Source organism: Homo sapiens, chromosome 4, assembly GCF_000001405.40.
Source record: "Homo sapiens chromosome 4, GRCh38.p14 Primary Assembly".
Lineage (NCBI taxonomy): Eukaryota > Metazoa > Chordata > Mammalia > Primates > Hominidae > Homo > Homo sapiens.
The window spans coordinates 87601665-87621927 of NC_000004.12; the positions used below are offsets into that span (position 1 = coordinate 87601665).

The following is a 20263-nucleotide window of genomic DNA, read 5'->3' on the forward strand; positions in this document are numbered from 1 at the left end:
GATTTTTATTTGTGGAGGTATGACTTTTTAGCTAGTGTTACCATTTAAGATTCAAGCACCAATAACTGTGGCAGAAAACTAACTACAAACTTTTTGTAGTTATTGGAAAAACAACTGAATACAGGACATTTAAGCCATCCTGGCAAAGCCAATATAGGACTCAGGACAAAATCATTTAGTACAGGACACCTCTTGTATATACAGGACGCCTGGAAATCAGATGCTGGCTATATCTCAGGCCTGCATCTCTGTGATATTCCCAGAACAGATTGTGCTTCAGCTTCTTTGAGTTCTCAGAGGAGAGTGAGTGGCCCAAGCTGAAGCTGGATCATTTGAGAAGTTCAAAGCCAGACTAAACAACTACTGAAAAGTTTGAATCAAAGTAGTGCCATAATTAGATTTGATTTTAGAAAGTTTTTTTTGGTATTTATATGGGAGATTTGGGATAGGCAGAAGCAGAGACTGGTGACAAATGAGTCTATTAGGAGGCTCAACACCCACGATGGGAGTAAGAATGGAAGCCATTAAACTTCTGTTTTTACCAAAGATTAGTAATTTACTTATAATACTGAATAAAATAACGTATCAAAGTTTTGGGGTTTAATTTAAAATATATCACTTTCCAACAATTCTAAGAAAGTTTATGACAAGCACAGGACTTGGACTTGGTGAATATATTATTCTAGGTTCTCTTGAGAAGCAGAACCAATTGGATGCATGTATATACATAGAGAGGATTGTTTAGAGTTCCCACACTTGGTTTTTGAGGCTGGTAAGCCCAAAACTTGCAGAATGAGCAGATAGACTGGAGGCCTAGGGAAGAGCTGATGTTGTGGTTCAAGTTCAAAACTGGCTGTTGAAGAATTCCTCCTTGCCTGAGGGAGATCAGTCTTTTGTTTTATTCAGACCTTCAGCTGGCTGCATGAGACCCATCCATATTATGAAGGGAAGTCTGCTTTACTAAAAATCCCCCAATTTAAATGTTACTCGTATTTCCCAAATTAATATTGTATCTGTCTTCTGAATTGCAGTGTCATTAATCCAATATTGAGAAATTGAATTGAAGATTTTTGCCTTTTAAACTTCCGCCAATCAAAGACACCCAGCAGGGATGTTGTAAATCTGCATATGCAGTGAACTTCTACTCAAATGCCTTCTGCTGGTTTTGTGAACAGGTCTTGCACCAATTTAAAGTAATTTGAGTTGGATGATCCTCTGTGGCTATGCTGCTATTACTATTCTTGCCTTAGTTTTGCTATTTGGCTCAGTGATGTTCATCCAAATTGAAGAAAACAGGAAGGCAAATGGTTCAAAATCATGGTAATAGAATAGCTAACTAGGTGAAGAGTTCAATTTCAAACTCTTTCCTTAGGAACAGAGTAATTGATTCTAATTAAGGGTTTTTAAAGAACTTACTTAGTTACTAAATTGAGGTAGATTTCTGAGTTCTGATCTTAAATTTTAGGTAATTGTTCAGTTTCCACAACAAATTGGGGTTTATGTTTCCTTTTGGCAATTCCTTACTATAAAGCCTTAGTTTTAGCTTCTCAATTTACAGGATTTGAAATGGAGCTGGCAGAAACGGGTTAATTACTTCTTTTTTTCAAAACCAGCTTTACTGAGATATAAATGCTGAGATGCACAAGAAACTGCGCATATTTAAAGTGTACAATTTGATAAGTTTTGTTGTAGGCAAACAGCCATGAAACCATCACCACAATCAAGACAATGAAAAGTCTCCATTCAAGTTTCCTTGTGGTCCTTTATAACTCCTTCCTCCCACTCCTTCCCCCTTGACCTCAGGCATCCACTGATCTATTTTCTGTCACTATAGATTAAAACGTGTGGTAAGTAGAATTTTAAGATAAGCCCCAATGTCCCTCACCCTTATATAATCCCCTTCCCTTTGAGTGGGAGTGGAACCTGTAAATACAATGAGATATCATTCCCATGGTTATGTCTTATTATGTGGCAAAAGTGATTAGGCAGATGTAATTAAGTTTACTAATAAATTGACCTTAAAGGAAAACCTGAGTGAGTCTAACCTAACCTAATGAGCCCTCTTTTTCTTTTGAAAAATTACTTTGGCTATTCTAATTCCCTTGCATTTCCATGAGAATTTTAGAATAACTTTCCAAATTTCTTCATGGATTTTAATTGGCATTGTATTGAATCTATAGATAAACTTTTGGAGACTTGACATCTTAGTATTGAGTTTTTTGACCCATTATCATGTTATAGATCTTGATTTATTTAAATAGTCTTTAACTTCTCTCAGCAATATTTGCAGTTTTTCAATGTTCAAGTCTTCAGATTTATCACTACATATTGTACTGTTGATGAAATTATAAACTGATTGTTTTTAATTTAAATGTTTGATTGTTAATTGCTAGCAAATAGAAATTTTTTTATTATTGATATCATATCCTATAACCTTACTTAACTCACTTATTAGTTCTAGTAACCTTTTTGTATATTCACTTGGATGCTCTACATAGATGATCATATTGTCCGCGAAATAAAGACGATTTAACTTCTTCTTCTTTTCCAATCTGAATGCCTTTTATTTCTTTTCTTTCTTAGAAACTCAAGAACAATATTGAATAGAAATGGTGAGAGCAGATATATTTGCCTTGCTTCTGATACTGGGGGAAAGCATTCAGTAGGTAAGCATTAAGTATGATGTTATTAGGTTGGTGCAAAAGTAAGTGCGGTTTTGCCATTAAAAGTAATTGCCCATTCAGTATGATATTGGCTGAGGGTTTGTCATAAAACTTATTGCGGCACTATTCACAATAGCAAAGACTTGGAACCAAGCCAAATGTCCAACAATGATAGACTGGATTAAGAAAATGTGGCACATATACACCATGGAATACTATGCAGCCATAAAAAATGATGAGTTCATATCCTTTGTAGGGACATGGATGAAGCTGGAAACCATCATTCTCAGCAAACTATCGCAAGGACAAAAAACCAAACACCGCATGTTCTCACTCATAAGTGGGAATTGAACAATGAGAACACATGGACACAGGAAGGGGAACATCACACACCGGGGCCTGTTGTGGGGTGGGGGGAGGGATAGCATTAGAAGATATGCCTAATGTTAAATGACGAGTTAATGGGTGCAGCACACCAACATGGCACATGAATACATATGTACTAACCTTCACGTTGTGCACATGTACCCTAAAACTTAAAGTATAAAAAAAAAAAAAGTAATTGCAAAAAACACAATTACTTTTGCACCAAAAGATGCCTTTTATCAGGTTGAGGAAGTTCCCTTCTATTCTTAGATAGCTGAGAGCTTTTGTTTATTTTTTAAATCAGAACTGAATGTTGGATTTTTGAAATGTTTCTTCCTTGCTTAATGAGATTTTAAAAATCGGAAGTGAACGTTGGATTTTTGAAATGTATTTTATTTGCCTAATGAGTTTTTTTTTTTTTTTTTTTTTTTTTTTTTTTTTTTGAGACGGAGTCTCGCTCTGTCACCCAGGATGGAGTGCAGTGGTGTGATCTCGGCTCACTGCAATCTCCGCCTCCTGGGTTCAAGCAAGTCTCATGCCTCAGCCTCCCAAGTTGCTGGGATTACAGGAATCTGCCACTGCGCCCAGCTAAATTTTTTTTGTATTTGTAGTAGAGACGGGGTTTCATCATGTTGGCCAGGCTGGTCTCGAACTCTTGACCTCAAGTTATTCGCCCACCTCGGCCTCCCAAAGTGCTAGGATTACAGGTGAGCCACTGCGCCCAGCCGCCTAAAGAGGTGTTTAAAATCAGAAGTGAATGTTGGATTTTTGAAATGTTTCTTCTTTGCCTAATGGGATTTTTAAAATCAGAAATGGATGGTCAATTTTTGAAATGTGTTTTATTTGTCTAGTGAGATTTTAAAAATCAGAAGTGAATGTTGGATTTTTGAAATGTTTTTCTTTGCCAATGAGATTATGTGGTTTTCTGTCTTTGTTAATATGGTGAATTAAATTGCTTTTTTTTTTTTTTTTGAGACGGAGTCTCGCTCTGTCGCCCAGGCTGGAGTGCAGTGGTGTGATCTCGGCTCACTGCAAGCCCCGCCTCTCAGGTTCACGCCATTCTCCAGCCTCAGCCTACCGAGTAGCTGGGACTACAGGTGCCTGCCACCACGCCCGGCTAATTTTTTGTGTTTTTAGTAGAGACGGGGTTTCACCGTGTTAGCCAGGATGGTCTCGATCTCCTGACCTCGTGATCCGTCCACCTCGGCCTCCCAAAGTGCTGGGATTACAGGCGTGAGCCACTGCGCCAGCCACGTTGATTAATTTTTAAATGTTAAGTCAGCCTTGCACACCTGGAATAAATTTTACTTGCTCATCATGTATTATCTTTTAAAAACATATTATTGGGTTTGATTCACTAACATTATATTTAAAAATTTTGTATTAACATTTATGATGGATATAGGTCAGTAGTAGTATATGCTTATAACATTTTTGGTTTTGGTATTGGGATAATGTTGGCATCATATAATGAGCTGTGAAGTATTTTCTCCTTCTCAATTTTCTGGAGGAGTTTGTGTAGGATTGGAATGATACCTTCCTTAAATACGTCATAGAATTTGTCAGTGAAACCATTTGGGCAGCAAGAATTCTACCACTGAACAACCAATGCCTCTCAAGTGAAACCATCTGGGCCCAAAGTTTTCTCTCTGGGCAAGTTTTAAACTATGAATTTAATTTCTTTAATAGATACGGGGCAATTGAAGTTATCTATTTTTCCTTGAGTGAGCTTTGTTGGTTTTAAGGAATCTACCCACTTTGTCTAAGTTTTTAATTTATTAACATAAAGATGTTCCTAGTATTTCCTTATTATCCCTTATAGAATATTTATAGAATGTCTATAAAATCTGTAGAATTGTCATTTCTCTCATTCCTGATATTGCTCATTTGTGTCTTCTCCTTTATTTCCCTCATTAGTCTGGAAAGAATCTCCTAAATTTTATTGAACTTCTCAAAGAATCAGCTTTGGTTTCACTGACTGTCTCTATTGTTTTTCTGTTTTCTATTTAATTAATTTCAGTTCTGATCTTTATTATTTCCTTTTCTCTACATACTTTGAACTTAATTTTTCCTTCTTTGGTGGAAAATGAGGTCATTGTTTCAAAACTTCTTCTCTTCATATATGGTTATTTAGTGCTATAATTTCATCCTAAATAACTGCTTTAGTGACATCCCACAGATTTTGATATGCTATGCTTTCATTTTCAGTCATCCCATATATTTTGAATTTCCCTTTTGGTTTCTTCTTTCACCCATTGACTATTTATGAGTGTTCCACTTAGCCTTAAAATACTTGCGGTTTTCCAGAATTCTTTTGTTATTGATTTCTGATTGCCTTCCATTGTGGTCAGTAAACATAATTTGTACGACTTGAATTCTTTTAAATTTATTGAGATTCATTTTGGGGCTCAGAATACGTTCTATCTTGGTAAATGGTGCAGGTACACTTGAAAAGAATGTTTATTCTTCTGTTGTTGGATGAAGTCGTCTGTAAATGTCAATTAGATCAAGTTGGATGATACTTCTGTTTAAAGGTTGTATATCCATTATATTTTTCTTTCAATTATTAATAGATGGCTATTGAAATCTCTAACCATAATTCATGTTAATTCAAATTAAGGAAAAGAAAGGCAGGTTTAGTTCACCAACCTCCACTGATGAATGTGTGTGTGGGTAAGGGTGTCACTCCCATAAGTGACTCGAGCCTTGTTAAAAGTTCTTAGGCCCTTTAATCTGCCCAAGTAAACATGCTATATGAATAAAAACAAAGCATTCACTATGAAAACAGCTTCAAGGCAAATTTCCTTCCCATTCAATTCACTTCCTTTTAACCTTACTTTTTCCCTACATATAAAGCTTTATTTGTATATAAATACCATATATTTTTGTATATATAGTTTCTGGAGATACCACTGTTGCATAGTGATATAGCATTAGTGGTCTTATGTGTTTCACCTTCTTTAATATTGTAACACAAAAATTGGCATATTCCTGAAAATTCTAAACAAGTATATAGAGAAAGACGGTCAAGTTTTTGAATGCATGAATTGAAGAAATAGTTTAGGGATTACCTGCATTATAGTACATCTAGGGTTCAAGAGAATGGTGCACTCATGTTGCAAAACTTGTTAGACATAAAGTCTAGTTTTCTACTTTGCATTCTGCAGCTAACACAGATAATTGAGAGATAATGGACAGCTAAATCTGTTGTCTTTATGCACCTTTGGACATCTTGCTACTTTTGACATTTTCAATGTCTGTTTTTGAAATGTAGTTTGAATACTCAATTGATAGATTTTTAAGCTTTTATGTCACTGCTTATTTCAGTTAAATCAGAGAGATTTCAGGGGAGTTACTGTTTATAGATTGTTAAAGATCCCTCAGGCAACGTCAAGGCTGCTGCATGTGGACAGTTTCTTGAATTATAGCACAGAAACTTTAATACCTACCTCAAGAATGATAGGGGTCTTAAATAGGCAGTCATATTTACTAAAGAAACCTAGAGTTTTCTTAGATTGCCAACCTTGGTAAGACAAGAAATGTCAGGGTGACAGAGTTTAAGTGGCTCTTTTCAGGTATCTTACACTGATTCTCTATATTTAAGATGTGAAACAGCCTCATAGGAGCTGTTTAATTAAGTGAAAGTAAGTCTAGTCCTTTTGGAACCGAACGGTTCAGTGAGCAAATACATATCACCAAGTGAAGGAAGTGGGGAAGTTATTATGTGCTTCATAGACTCGATGACACTTTATAACCCCATATCAGGGATCCTAAACAGTGATTGGTTGAGAAAATTATCAAACTGAGTTTAAATTTCGGCAAGTACAAAATTGTCATGCAAAAGTCCAGGACAGTGGGCCACTTTCAGTCTTCAAAGAGAAAGATAAGAAATTCTGGATTTTCAAAATCCTTTTGAAGCCTTTTAAGGTAAGATGAAATATCCTTTTTACTCAGAACCAACTGATTCATTTAGAAAGAACTTTGAATTTCAAAGATGAAGCCAGTTTGATTTTAAGAAGCGAGTACCCCTTAATGATTAGATTGTATGCTTCCTTTTTGACTTGTCATATTGATAGTATGTATAAAAGATAACGGACAATTACGACCTAAGGAAGAGATAGATTGGGAAGAAGAAAGACCTCGTACTGAAAAATTGGCCAACTGAGGTGGAAATTTGACAATTAACTATCTGGGCACTTTGATTAGTTTTGATAAAAAATGAGATAACTCAGATTTCAAAAATCCACCTTGGGCTTTCAAACAAGGCTTCAATTAGGCTTTGCTTTTTAGTATTTTATTACTTACTATTACTTATTATTTATTGTCCCACATGAAATGAAATTTAGCAATCACTAATGATGCCAAATCTAATTGCTAAATGAAATGAAGCTAAATCTCATTTCATTAGTAACAATAAATGAAATAATCTGATGGAGCTTCACAAATTCTGAAGTCTTTGTTTCATGCTGAGATCACCTGGGCCATTTTTATTGTAGTCTTCGAAGTCATTCACCTGCCTTGGAAACGGTGATAACCATCATGGAATTGTTCAGGAGTGGAGCTGAAAGAGAGATGTAGTGGTCAGATTTCTGAACTGTAGCTCAGAAACTGGACACGCATCACTCTGGCCTTGGCTGCAGGTACCTTTCCAGTATGCTGAGGCTCTTCCAAATCACAGTGCAGACGGGCCTTCTGCAGAGCTATGTAATGATTAGGCTTGGGACTGCAAAGTACAGGATAACTGTGGCTTAGTAAACAGCTGGCCTTCAACATCTGTGCCCCAGAGCTCTGCATGATACTTGTCCTGGTGTCACCTCAGCCTCACTTGAATCTATGGCATTTCAGAAGGAGCTCTAGCTGTTCTTGGCTTTCTGTTGAACAGCTATAAGAATGAGCACTTTTTTCCCCCTCAGTAGCTCTGGAACTGTGTCATCTCTCCTGTGAGAAAACGCCAGTAATTCTCATGACAGTTGATATTCAGTGAAGTTTTATTATATTTTCACTACCACCATTAAATTCAATCAAAGCCATTTTATGACATGCAGCATTATAATCTATACATCTGGTGGGAGTTCATGAAATAGGAGTAAAACTCTCCTTTCTATCATTACTTCAAGAAATCCAACTTGCAATATAAATTAATTTTTTTACTCACACAGATTATAAAATGTCTATTCCAACTTATCAGAAACATGTTTTAGACCATTTCTGAATTTGAATTCTAACAGGGATGAAGAATCATGATTTTAGAAGTCCCATAAAATAATTGCTATCATTTATTCAAAAATTGCAAAGTGCCTGAAGCAATGCTAGATATTGCTGATAGTCATAAATATTTATCAACAACATTCAGAAAACGTTTTTTTCTGTGCTTTGCATTGGAATACAATAATCACCAAGACACTCTCCTGGGCCTCAGGAGCTTACAGGAAATCAGGGCAACACATAAGTAACTAGGCAATTTTAAACAGTGCAATGCGTTACCAGTGAGACGTGCAAACTTCCTTGGTATAAAAAGGAAAGAGATACCAAATACCCTTTGAAGTGGCGTCAGAGAGGGCTTCTCAGAGATAATTCTACCAAACTTCAGGATAATCCTGAGGTGCAGGTGTTGTTATTATTCCAGGTGGAGGGATAATAAACCTACTTAAATTTCTCAAGCTTACACAGCAAGTAGCAGGGGTAACATTTGAACCCAGGTCTCTGAATACAAACCCCGTATTCTTTCCACTAGCGTAGGCTCCCTCATGTTAGTAATTTCTTTCTCTTAAAGTCTGGTATAGCTCAATTCTATAGATTTGGAGTAAGGATGACAAGTGTTTTACCTTTGAAGCACAATTTCAGCAGAATTAGTTAGTACTTGATTAAAGCTATTCAGAAGAGAAATAGATGTTTTTACACCCAAGAATTGCAGAAGAACAAAGTTACAGCTATGCCCTTTGTACCTATTATGGCGTTTTCCTTCATTGGCACAGGCAGAAAAAAATCTAGGAAGCTACATTAGTGCTGAGCCTGGTGATGCCCCCATAACCACACCAGGTATGTTCTGGACCATCGTATGTCTTCTCGTGTTAGATACATGCTTCTTGTCCAGGAAAAGGGCAAATGCTTACACATCAAAATAATATAGTACTATGATTTTCCCTTTACTTTATAAGTAATTTTGTGCTGTTCCTTTTTTATACAGCCATTGATTATTATTATTCCTAAAGAAAATGAAGATAATTACATATTTTTGCATTTGGGCAGTAGCATGGGCCATTCCAGTAAGTATGCCTTTCTTAGAAAACCTCTTCACTTTGTTATCTTTTTTAACCTAACATTAATACAAAATGTAGTGTGTGTGTGTGTGTGTGTGTGTGTGTGTGTGCATGTACATGTGTGTATATATGTGTGTGTGTATATATGTTTCCTTAATTTTTTTTAACAGGCTGAGTCTAAACATTTAGATTTGCACTAAGGGCTTTATGTGATATCTGTGAGGTTTCAACAAAACCACTCCAATTCATCGTCTCATTCCTCTATAGAAACTCATATCTCGTCTGAAGGATTATTATTATTTAAAACATTTATTCAGATTAATTTACACTTAATGCCCAGAAGTCATGGAGACTTTGTCCATCTTTGCTTCATACTCTGTGAATTTCATTCTAATACGAACAAAGTCTGTGCTGTTTAGGAAGTTTCCAAGAAAGAATAATAAGAAAAAGTAGATTTTTTTTCAACATATAGGAGACTAATTTTTCACTCAGAGTTATTATTTATGTGCTCACTGTGGAAAATTTGGAATATATGATGAAAACCAATAAAAAATTGAGAAAATTCAACCATTTATAATTTTACTAGCCAGCCATCATGTTTAACATTTTCATATGCTTTCATAATACCAAACATTTGGTATTTATGTAGTTGAAAATGTTCTCAAGTATTTCAAATGTGCTCTTGCAGAGCACAGAAGTATACTAGCGTAATACTTGATTTTGCCTCTGTGCAGGCTCTGGTCACGCCTCCTGTTCTCTTAAGAGTTTTCATCAGGATTACACTTAGAGCGGGTTTGTGCTAGTGCAAGAGGCTTTTTGTAGAGAAACACCAGAGGTCTATCCCCTCGTCTTTCTACAAGACTCTTTCCTTCTACAGTTGAGATAAGTGGGCTGATCTAACACGTCCATAAAATTGGTAATACCACAGTGAAAAATATCCATGTACCCAGTTTAAATTCTACACAAGCCCTGTAAGAAGCCACTTCTCTTTTCTATCTGATTAGATCATACTTTGGCCTTTGTGTTAAACCTTTCTTCTTCATGGAGGGAAGAATATTTGTGTGTGTGTGTGTGTGTGTGTGTGTGTGCACGCTCACACACATATTCACAAATAAGAACCTTTTCAATAGCCAGTATTTTCTACTTGGCAGGTTCCTCAAAGCAAACCACTGGAGAGACATGTCGAAAAATCCATGAATTTGCATCTCCTAGCAAGATCAAATGTGTCAGTACAGGTATAGGATGTAATATATTTCATTTTATTTCCTATTTCTGAGTTGCTACATTCCATTAACTTCTCCAAGATTGCAATTTGCTTTCCTTCAAGATCATTGATACTTATAATTGATTGAATTGTTTCTTTTTCAGGATGAGTTAAATGCCAGTGGAACCATCAAAGAAAGTGGTGTCCTGGTGCATGAAGGTGATAGAGGAAGGCAAGAGAATACCCAAGATGGTCACAAGGGAGAAGGGAATGGCTCTAAGTGGGCAGAAGTAGGAGGGAAGAGTTTTTCTACATATTCCACATTAGCAAACGAAGAGGGGAATATTGAGGGCTGGAATGGGGACACAGGAAAAGCAGAAACATATGGTCATGATGGAATACATGGGAAAGAAGAAAACATCACAGCAAATGGCATCCAGGGACAAGTAAGCATCATTGACAATGCTGGAGCCACAAACAGAAGCAACACTAATGGAAATACTGATAAGAATACCCAAAATGGGGATGTTGGCGATGCAGGTCACAATGAGGATGTCGCTGTTGTCCAAGAAGATGGACCTCAAGTAGCTGGAAGCAATAACAGTACAGACAATGAGGATGAAATAATTGAGAATTCCTGTAGAAACGAGGGTAATACAAGTGAAATAACACCTCAGATCAACAGCAAGAGAAATGGGACTAAGGAAGCTGAGGTAACACCAGGCACTGGAGAAGATGCTGGCCTGGATAATTCCGATGGGAGTCCTAGTGGGAATGGAGCAGATGAGGATGAAGACGAGGGTTCTGGTGATGATGAAGATGAAGAAGCAGGGAATGGAAAAGACAGTAGTAATAACAGCAAGGGCCAGGAGGGCCAGGACCATGGGAAAGAAGATGATCATGATAGTAGCATAGGTCAAAATTCAGATAGTAAAGAATATTATGACCCTGAAGGCAAAGAAGATCCCCATAATGAAGTTGATGGAGACAAGACCTCCAAGAGTGAGGAGAATTCTGCTGGTATTCCAGAAGACAATGGCAGCCAAAGAATAGAGGACACCCAGAAGCTCAACCATAGAGAAAGCAAACGCGTAGAAAATAGAATCACCAAAGAATCAGAGACACATGCTGTTGGGAAGAGCCAAGATAAGGTTAGTTTGTAAAGCTGATTTCTTTCAATGGCAGTTTAAATTCTTCCCCTCCATCTATTGATGCTAGCACAAAAATAAACCATGACAAGCATCCATGTATTTTTGTATCCATATTACTTGACTATTTAAGGAAATCTAGAGTCCTTACTAGACTTCGAGATAGAACAACTTTAAACATCTTACATTTCTGATAACTTAGTTATAATTCTAGAAAAGTCTTATGTGAAATCATGGATCCCCATGTAATTGTTTACAAAAGTTCCTACTGGGTAGGAATGTGGATGAATTTTTAAGGAATCTAAGCACCAGGATGCTTTCAATTACAGAATAAAGCACATTTTCACAAATAACTGTGAAGTACTAGAAATGTAACTCCTATCCCTATGGCAACTTTTCCCAGTTATTCTTCCTCAGATCAATGCAATTTTGCAGCAAATATTCACTAGTTAATCATTCTTTCCTCCATCCTTCCATAGGGAATAGAAATCAAGGGTCCCAGCAGTGGCAACAGAAATATTACCAAAGAAGTTGGGAAAGGCAACGAAGGTAAAGAGGATAAAGGACAACATGGAATGATCTTGGGCAAAGGCAATGTCAAGACACAAGGAGAGGTTGTCAACATAGAAGGACCTGGCCAAAAATCAGAACCAGGAAATAAAGTTGGACACAGCAATACAGGTAGTGACAGCAATAGTGATGGATATGACAGTTATGATTTTGATGATAAGTCCATGCAAGGAGATGATCCCAATAGCAGTGATGAATCTAATGGCAATGATGATGCTAATTCAGAAAGTGACAATAACAGCAGTAGCCGAGGAGATGCTTCTTATAACTCTGATGAATCAAAAGATAATGGCAATGGCAGTGACTCAAAAGGAGCAGAAGATGATGACAGTGATAGCACATCAGACACTAATAATAGTGACAGTAATGGCAATGGTAACAATGGGAATGATGACAATGACAAATCAGACAGTGGCAAAGGTAAATCAGATAGCAGTGACAGTGATAGTAGTGATAGCAGCAATAGCAGTGATAGTAGTGACAGCAGTGACAGTGACAGCAGTGATAGCAACAGTAGCAGTGATAGTGACAGCAGTGACAGTGACAGCAGTGATAGCAGTGACAGTGATAGTAGTGATAGCAGCAATAGCAGTGACAGTAGTGACAGCAGTGATAGCAGTGACAGTAGTGATAGTAGTGACAGCAGTGACAGCAAGTCAGACAGCAGCAAATCAGAGAGCGACAGCAGTGATAGTGACAGTAAGTCAGACAGCAGTGACAGCAACAGCAGTGACAGTAGTGACAACAGTGATAGCAGCGACAGCAGCAATAGCAGTAACAGCAGTGATAGTAGTGACAGCAGTGATAGCAGTGACAGCAGCAGTAGCAGTGACAGCAGCAACAGCAGTGATAGTAGTGACAGTAGTGACAGCAGCAATAGCAGTGAGAGCAGTGATAGTAGTGACAGCAGTGATAGTGACAGCAGTGATAGTAGTGACAGCAGTAATAGTAACAGCAGCGATAGTGACAGCAGCAACAGCAGCGATAGCAGTGACAGCAGCAACAGCAGTGACAGCAGTGATAGCAGTGACAGCAGCAACAGCAGTGACAGTAGCGATAGCAGTGACAGCAGCAACAGCAGTGACAGCAGTGATAGCAGTGACAGCAGTGATAGTAGTGACAGCAGCAACAGCAGTGATAGCAACGACAGCAGCAATAGCAGTGACAGCAGTGATAGCAGCAACAGCAGTGATAGCAGCAACAGCAGTGATAGCAGTGATAGCAGTGACAGCAGTGATAGCGACAGCAGCAATAGCAGTGACAGCAGTAATAGTAGTGACAGCAGCGATAGCAGCAACAGCAGTGATAGCAGCGACAGCAGCGATAGCAGTGACGGCAGTGATAGCGACAGCAGCAATAGAAGTGACAGTAGTAATAGTAGTGACAGCAGCGATAGCAGTGACAGCAGCAACAGCAGTGACAGCAGTGATAGCAGTGACAGCAACGAAAGCAGCAATAGCAGTGACAGCAGTGATAGCAGCAACAGCAGTGATAGTGACAGCAGTGATAGCAGCAACAGCAGTGACAGCAGTGATAGCAGCAACAGCAGTGATAGCAGTGAAAGCAGTAATAGTAGTGACAACAGCAATAGCAGTGACAGCAGCAACAGCAGTGACAGCAGTGATAGCAGTGACAGCAGTAATAGTAGTGACAGCAGCAATAGCAGTGACAGCAGCAACAGCAGTGACAGCAGTGATAGCAATAGCAGCGACAGCAGTGACAGCAGCAACAGCAGCGATAGCAGTGACAGCAGTGATAGCAGTGACAGCAGTGACAGCAGTGATAGCAGCAACAGCAGTGATAGCAGTGACAGCAGTGACAGCAGTGATAGCAGTAATAGTAGTGACAGCAGCAATAGCAGTGACAGCAGCAACAGCAGTGACAGCAGCGATAGCAGTGACAGCAGCGATAGCAGTGACAGCAGCGATAGCAGTGACAGCAGTGACAGCAGCAATAGCAGTGACAGCAGTGACAGCAGCGACAGCAGTGATAGCAGTGACAGCAGTGACAGCAGCGACAGCAGTGATAGCAGTGAAAGCAGTGATAGCAGTGACAGCAGCAATAGCAGTGACAGCAGCGATAGCAGCGACAGCAGCGACAGCAGCGATAGCAGTGACAGCAGCGATAGCAGTGACAGCAGTGACAGCAGCAATAGCAGTGACAGCAGTGACAGCAGCGACAGCAGTGATAGCAGTGACAGCAGCAACAGCAGTGACAGCAGTGACAGCAGTGAAAGCAGCGACAGCAGTGACAGCAGCGACAGCAGTGACAGCAGCGATAGCAGCGACAGCAGCGACAGCAGCGATAGCAGTGACAGCAGCAATAGCAGTGATAGCAGCGACAGCAGTGATAGCAGTGACAGCAGCGACAGCAGCGATAGCAGCGACAGCAGCGATAGTAGTGATAGCAGTGACAGCAGTGACAGCAGCGACAGCAGTGACAGCAGCGACAGCAGTGACAGCAGCGACAGCAGTGACAGCAATGAAAGCAGCGACAGCAGTGACAGCAGCGATAGCAGTGACAGCAGCAACAGCAGTGACAGCAGCGACAGCAGTGATAGCAGTGACAGCACATCTGACAGCAATGATGAGAGTGACAGCCAGAGCAAGTCTGGTAACGGTAACAACAATGGAAGTGACAGTGACAGTGACAGTGAAGGCAGTGACAGTAACCACTCAACCAGTGATGATTAGAACAAAAGAAAAACCCGTAAGATTCCTTTTGTGAAAAGTTTGGTAATGGGATAGGAAAAAAAGATTTCCAAGAAAGTAAAGAAAGGGGAGAAATAAACATAAGACGTATGTAAACAAAAACAACTGGGGGAATCAAATCAAACAGTTGGATTCAGAACCAAGACCTAACTCCTGCAGAGACAGACTCTGAATGCATGACCTTTGGTACATGCCTGTTAATATTCATGTTCTGAAAATATTTTGTTAAAAGTGTAAATCTAAACATAAAAGAACAATTAAAATATTCTTTAATACTTCACACAGAAACCTCAAGTAATCACTACATGATAACTTCAATTTAAGTGCCATGTGCTGCAGAGAATGTAGCAGGCAGACACATCTTAAAAGCAACCTGTGGCATTGCCTTAAGTCTCCATAGTTATATATTCTGGAGAGGTGGTCTGCTTACCGCTGAGTAAAAGATGCTGTACTGTGATAGCCAACTTGGCTTTGGATTCAGTTGCTTGTTCTATGGAAGAAATACATTTATTTGTTACATGAAAAAAAATTGCAGCTACTATTCAACCTACCTGGGCTATGGGAATAATCTTTCTAATGATCAAATAGAGTAGTTATAAGTCACAGAAATTCTAAAGAGTGCTAGTCAGAAAGAGCTCAGAGACAGGTTGATGTATAAAATCTGATCTGTAATCTGATGTATAGCATCTGATGTTAAAATCTGATGTAAAAAAATACATCTCAACAAACCACTGGAAATTTAGTACAAAGTCCCTAAAACTATTGACAAAGCTGATGCAGTGCTTAGAACAGTGTCTTACTCCCAGGAGCCACTCTCCAAATGTTAACCAGTAAATGACACATGAATGACTCTGGAGGAGCATCACTTAGAAGCGCGGTGGCTCACGCCTGTATCCCAACACTTTGGCAGGTCGAGGTGGGCGGATCACGAGGTCAAGAGATCGAGACCATCTTGGCCAACATGGTGAAACCCCGTCTCTACTAAAAATACAAATATCAGCTGGGAGTGGTGGCGCGCGTCTCTAGTCCCAGCTACTTGGGAGGCTGAGGCAGGAGAATCGCTTGAACCCAGGAGCGGAAGTTGCAGTAAGCTGAGATCGTGCCACTGCACTCTAGCCTAGCGACAGAACGAGAGTCCGTCTCAAAAAAACAAACAAACAAAAAAACTGTGTTATGTGGTATCAATTATTTATCTTTACATCAGTCTCACCAAGTCATTCTTAGTTCACATTTCCCTTGAAAACCTCAACACGCCAAAACTTCTAAACCAGACCCTGAGTCTCCCTTCCCACTATTAATCTCTTTAATAAAGCTAAAGCTGCTGGTGGGTAATGGTTTGGAAAACTTCTCTTTCTTATTTGAGAGTCATATATGCAGTTACGATCTGAGTATATATCACTCAGCTTTGGCATGAATGAAGGTAATTCTTAGCCCCAAGATGAAGCCCAATTTCTAGAAAATGACAATCTTAAAGGTGTATAGAGAATAGAGATTGATATTTAATAGTGTGGAGATATAGTTTATCATCTAAATTAGGGCACTTTGGAGAATGAAAGGGGTGTTATGAGTAATTATACGGAGACAGGAGATATAAATTGGGGTTGTCCCAGGGAAACTGGGAGATACTATAACCCTAACCCATAAACCTTAAGGGTATTTTTCAAGATTTAGTAGTGACGCTTTGAAATCTCCATCTTTTTCCATTGAGGTAATTATTTTAGCTTTGTTCTAAAGCAAAGCTGAAAATCTATAGAGTGAGATTATGAATGCAACTTCTTTAATGTTAATTTTCAACCAGTTGTTAGTTGACCATTTACCTTCTAATATTAGGCATATTTTATGAAGAGTTTCAGGAGGTTTATTTTTCTGCCTTCTTCCTCCTCTATGCAAGTGTCCTTAGGTAAGAGATCAACATTGTGAGGAGTATTGTTGAAGACTTTAAAAATACTATTCATAAACTTCTTGGTAACTCTTAAGAGTGCAAAATGTCCAGGTTTGTACTACATCACAGTCATGTCATGACTCTAAACTTCTTTCCATATAATATGTTCTAGGTTTTTAATTTCTTTAGATTTTAGGGTTTTTTCTTTCGTTTTGTTTTGTTTTAATTTGTAAAGCATTGCTTCTAGTATGTGTCACAACTATTTCAAAAGGTTGCTATGAACACTAAGTCAGGCAATGGACATGGAACTCTGTAAACTACACAAGATACATAAATGAAGGAGATAAATCTCGGTGTTATAATAAATATCCATTTATTAAAGTAAATATCCTTTTATACAATTGCTCACAAAGAAAATTCCCTTCATCCTAAAGAGTTTGCAAATACCCCCTCTATCACAAAATCTGATGTATAATATTTCTTTTAAAAATTAGCTATTTTTAATTAAAAAAGTAATATATGTATATGCACAAAATAAAAAAAACAAACACCATAAAGAGGTATACAGAAGTATTATCTTAAATCTTGACCCTTCTACACTCCCAGCCCTCTATATCTCTTTCCTATTGCCTATAAGCAATTCCCATTACTAATATCTTGTGGAGCGTTTCAGAAATATTCTATGTACATACATTCCCCTTTTAAAAACATGTGGAAGTTTACTATACACAATGCGTTCATCTTATTTTTTTCAATTTAATAAATACCTTAAATATTGGTTCATAGCACACAGATCAACTTCATTTTTCTTCACGGGTGTGCTGTATTTCGTTTTATGAAGTGCCATAAGGTATTTGATCTGCCTTTATTGTTCCATCACTTTCTAAGCCATTTCCAGTCTGATAAAAGTCTCTGCAGATATTGCCTGCAGTAACAGCCTAAGCTGGATCAATTTCTAGCCAGTTCTTATAAAGAATTTACTTTAAGAAATATTTAGAGGCAGGGAATGTTCAGAATCTAGGGTTGATACCAGAAGTAACAAAGATATGATCTTGATTTTCTTATATAATCACATCTGCATTGACTTCTGGACTTTCAGGGAAAGAATGGAGCAGACACACTACAAAAGAACATCGCAAAAGTAGATCCTTTGAACACAAGAAGTCTGGTATTAGGAAACAAAGCTTATTTTGAGTTATTTTCTGGAATAAAGATTAATAGGCTGTCTGCTAATATTGCCCACAAAAACAGTATTTTTTAAACTGCAGGTTGCCACTCATTTAGTAGATCATATCAATTTAGTGACTAATGATAAATATTTTATAAAACAAAAGAATAAAAAAGAAAAATCATAATGTACCATCTGTACTGTTTTGTGAACCTGGATCATATCTATCTATATATGTACACACACAAATATGTCCAAGTGTACATGTAGTAGGACCTGATGGAAAATGCCTTTCTTATTGTTGATTGTAGTTTTAAAAAGTTTGAAAGCCATTGGTTTAGAAAATAATTACTGCTAGTAATCATTTTATATTCACTTTTTCACATTCACTTTTTCCCTAGAAACCTCTAAGTTTCTTTCCCACTTTGAAGCAGAGATTTTAAAGAAAAAAGAAAGAAAGAAAGAAGGATGTATGTGTAGACGGACAGGGAAGAGTGGCAGTGGAATGCGTTTCTAGATTTATCTGTACCACGGTAAAAAGAGCCAAGGAAACATTGTCACTCTTGAACAAGAGGCTATCAGGATGGTGCTGGTGGACTTGTTAGAAATTCAAGATTTCTTTCTGGCTGCATGGATTACTCCACAGATGACTGAAGACAAGATCTGAAAACTTACTCTCAGAGGTGGTCTTGTCCTCCCCATCGACCGGAGAATTCTCTCTGTGTCGGTCATACCACAAATCAGGAAATGTGGTAACAGGTTTTGTTGTTGTTGTTTAAAAAATATATTTTTTACATAAAAAGATAACATTTATAAAGTTATACTTCACCATACAAATACATTTAAAATTATTAACTGAAGTGTAATTTCCCAGAAGTCAAACTTGCTTTATGATTTGTAATGGAAGTTTTGAAAAACTTTAGACCAAAATAACCAGGAACAATTTTCCTCTCCCTAAAAGGAGCAGGAACAGAATAGAATAGTTTAGTCATAGATGAAAATATCATTGTGTTCTCACAGTGATCCATTCACTGCTGCTTGGAAGCAAATCCTCTAGAGAATGAAACAAACCAACAACACAATGTTCCCATCCTCTACCCTCTGAACAGGGATCTTGGGTTCAGATGCTGAAAAAGAAAAAAAAGAAAAAACTCAATTCCTATGGGGAAGTCTTGCAGCTCAGAAAAATTGTGCAAAATCTAAAGATACATGAGACTCAATCTGTCTTCCATGAGTTTGCCCAGTTCCCACTCTAGCATGAAGCACTGATTTTATAGAGCTTGATCATAAGATACTTCCCTTATTCCCAAACCCATTATTTTGGGCTTCGCAACCTGCTCTACCCATCTCTCCTTTACTCTGTTTCCTTATTTTCCTCCCTAGTCTTTTTCTCTTCAAAGAGGTTAAGAAAGCTCTGTGGGGAGGAAACTCTTCGCCCTTTGCAGATTTTAATTCCCAGGCATCTCCCTTTGTGAGAACCCAGACAAACCCCCTGGCCAGGGACTGCTGTGCTTGGGCTTATATCACTGGTCTTTTTGTACACTCCTGGATTTCAGTCTCAACCAGCTGGTTCCTACCTTCCTGGCACTTTCCTCAATTGAAACCACTGAATCTTTCTTTGCTATTCTAACTCCATCTTTTTTATTCTGAGACCAAACAGAACTGAAGGCAAGAGATACTCAGACTGCAACAGACCAACCCTTAGGTACAGCATGATGGCACACTTACTTCTTGTCTTATCCTAATATCTTGATTCCAACAAGTAGACTCGGACCTTGTCCCAAAGCAACAATTCCTTTTGAGTGACCTGATCTTCTAAGTTGGCTTCTGTCTAGGTTCTTCATACTATTCTGGTAAACGGATGAGAATTTCCCCAGCCCAATCACCCTGAGAACACCAGGAGCAAACCTGTTATCTGATACAGTTGACTTTATGGATGCAATGCAATGAAGGTGGCTGTGGACCACAGCAGAGGTGGCTCAGCAAAGGAAAAGATAGAATTATTATAGGATTTTGGGAATGAGTGGAATGTAGATAGTATTTAAATGAAGCAGTGTTTGAAAGGTTCAAAGAAAACAGGGATAAGGATTTGGATTATGAAATAGACCCAGGCTCCTGTTTCTTTGCAAGGTACAAAGTTAGGATGAAGATGGATTGTTGTATCCAGAAACCCCTTATCTGAATCTCTCTGCACCTGGGTTGTAAATTGAGACTGCTTCTGTGTCAAAAGAGCTTAGACTCTCCAGGCAAGAATGGAGTGTTTCATTCTTACCGATATAATCTACAGCAAC

At 38.3% G+C, this 20263-nt stretch overlaps 1 protein-coding gene and 1 long non-coding RNA gene across 2 annotated transcripts in view; one reads left to right on the forward strand and one right to left on the reverse strand.

Annotated features, from left to right (window-relative positions):
- DMP1-AS1 (DMP1 and DSPP antisense RNA 1) overlaps positions 1 to 20263 on the reverse strand; it is a 164356-nt gene that overhangs the window by 33606 nt on the left and 110487 nt on the right. The window lies entirely within an intron of this gene.
- On the forward strand, positions 6865 to 15209 carry DSPP (dentin sialophosphoprotein). Its single transcript, NM_014208.3, has 5 exons — positions 6865 to 6956; positions 9217 to 9295; positions 10441 to 10524; positions 10658 to 11644; positions 12121 to 15209. Exons 2-5 carry the CDS (start codon positions 9245 to 9247, stop codon positions 14902 to 14904), a joined length of 3906 nt encoding a protein of 1301 aa, NP_055023.2. The 5' UTR covers positions 6865 to 6956; positions 9217 to 9244; the 3' UTR covers positions 14905 to 15209.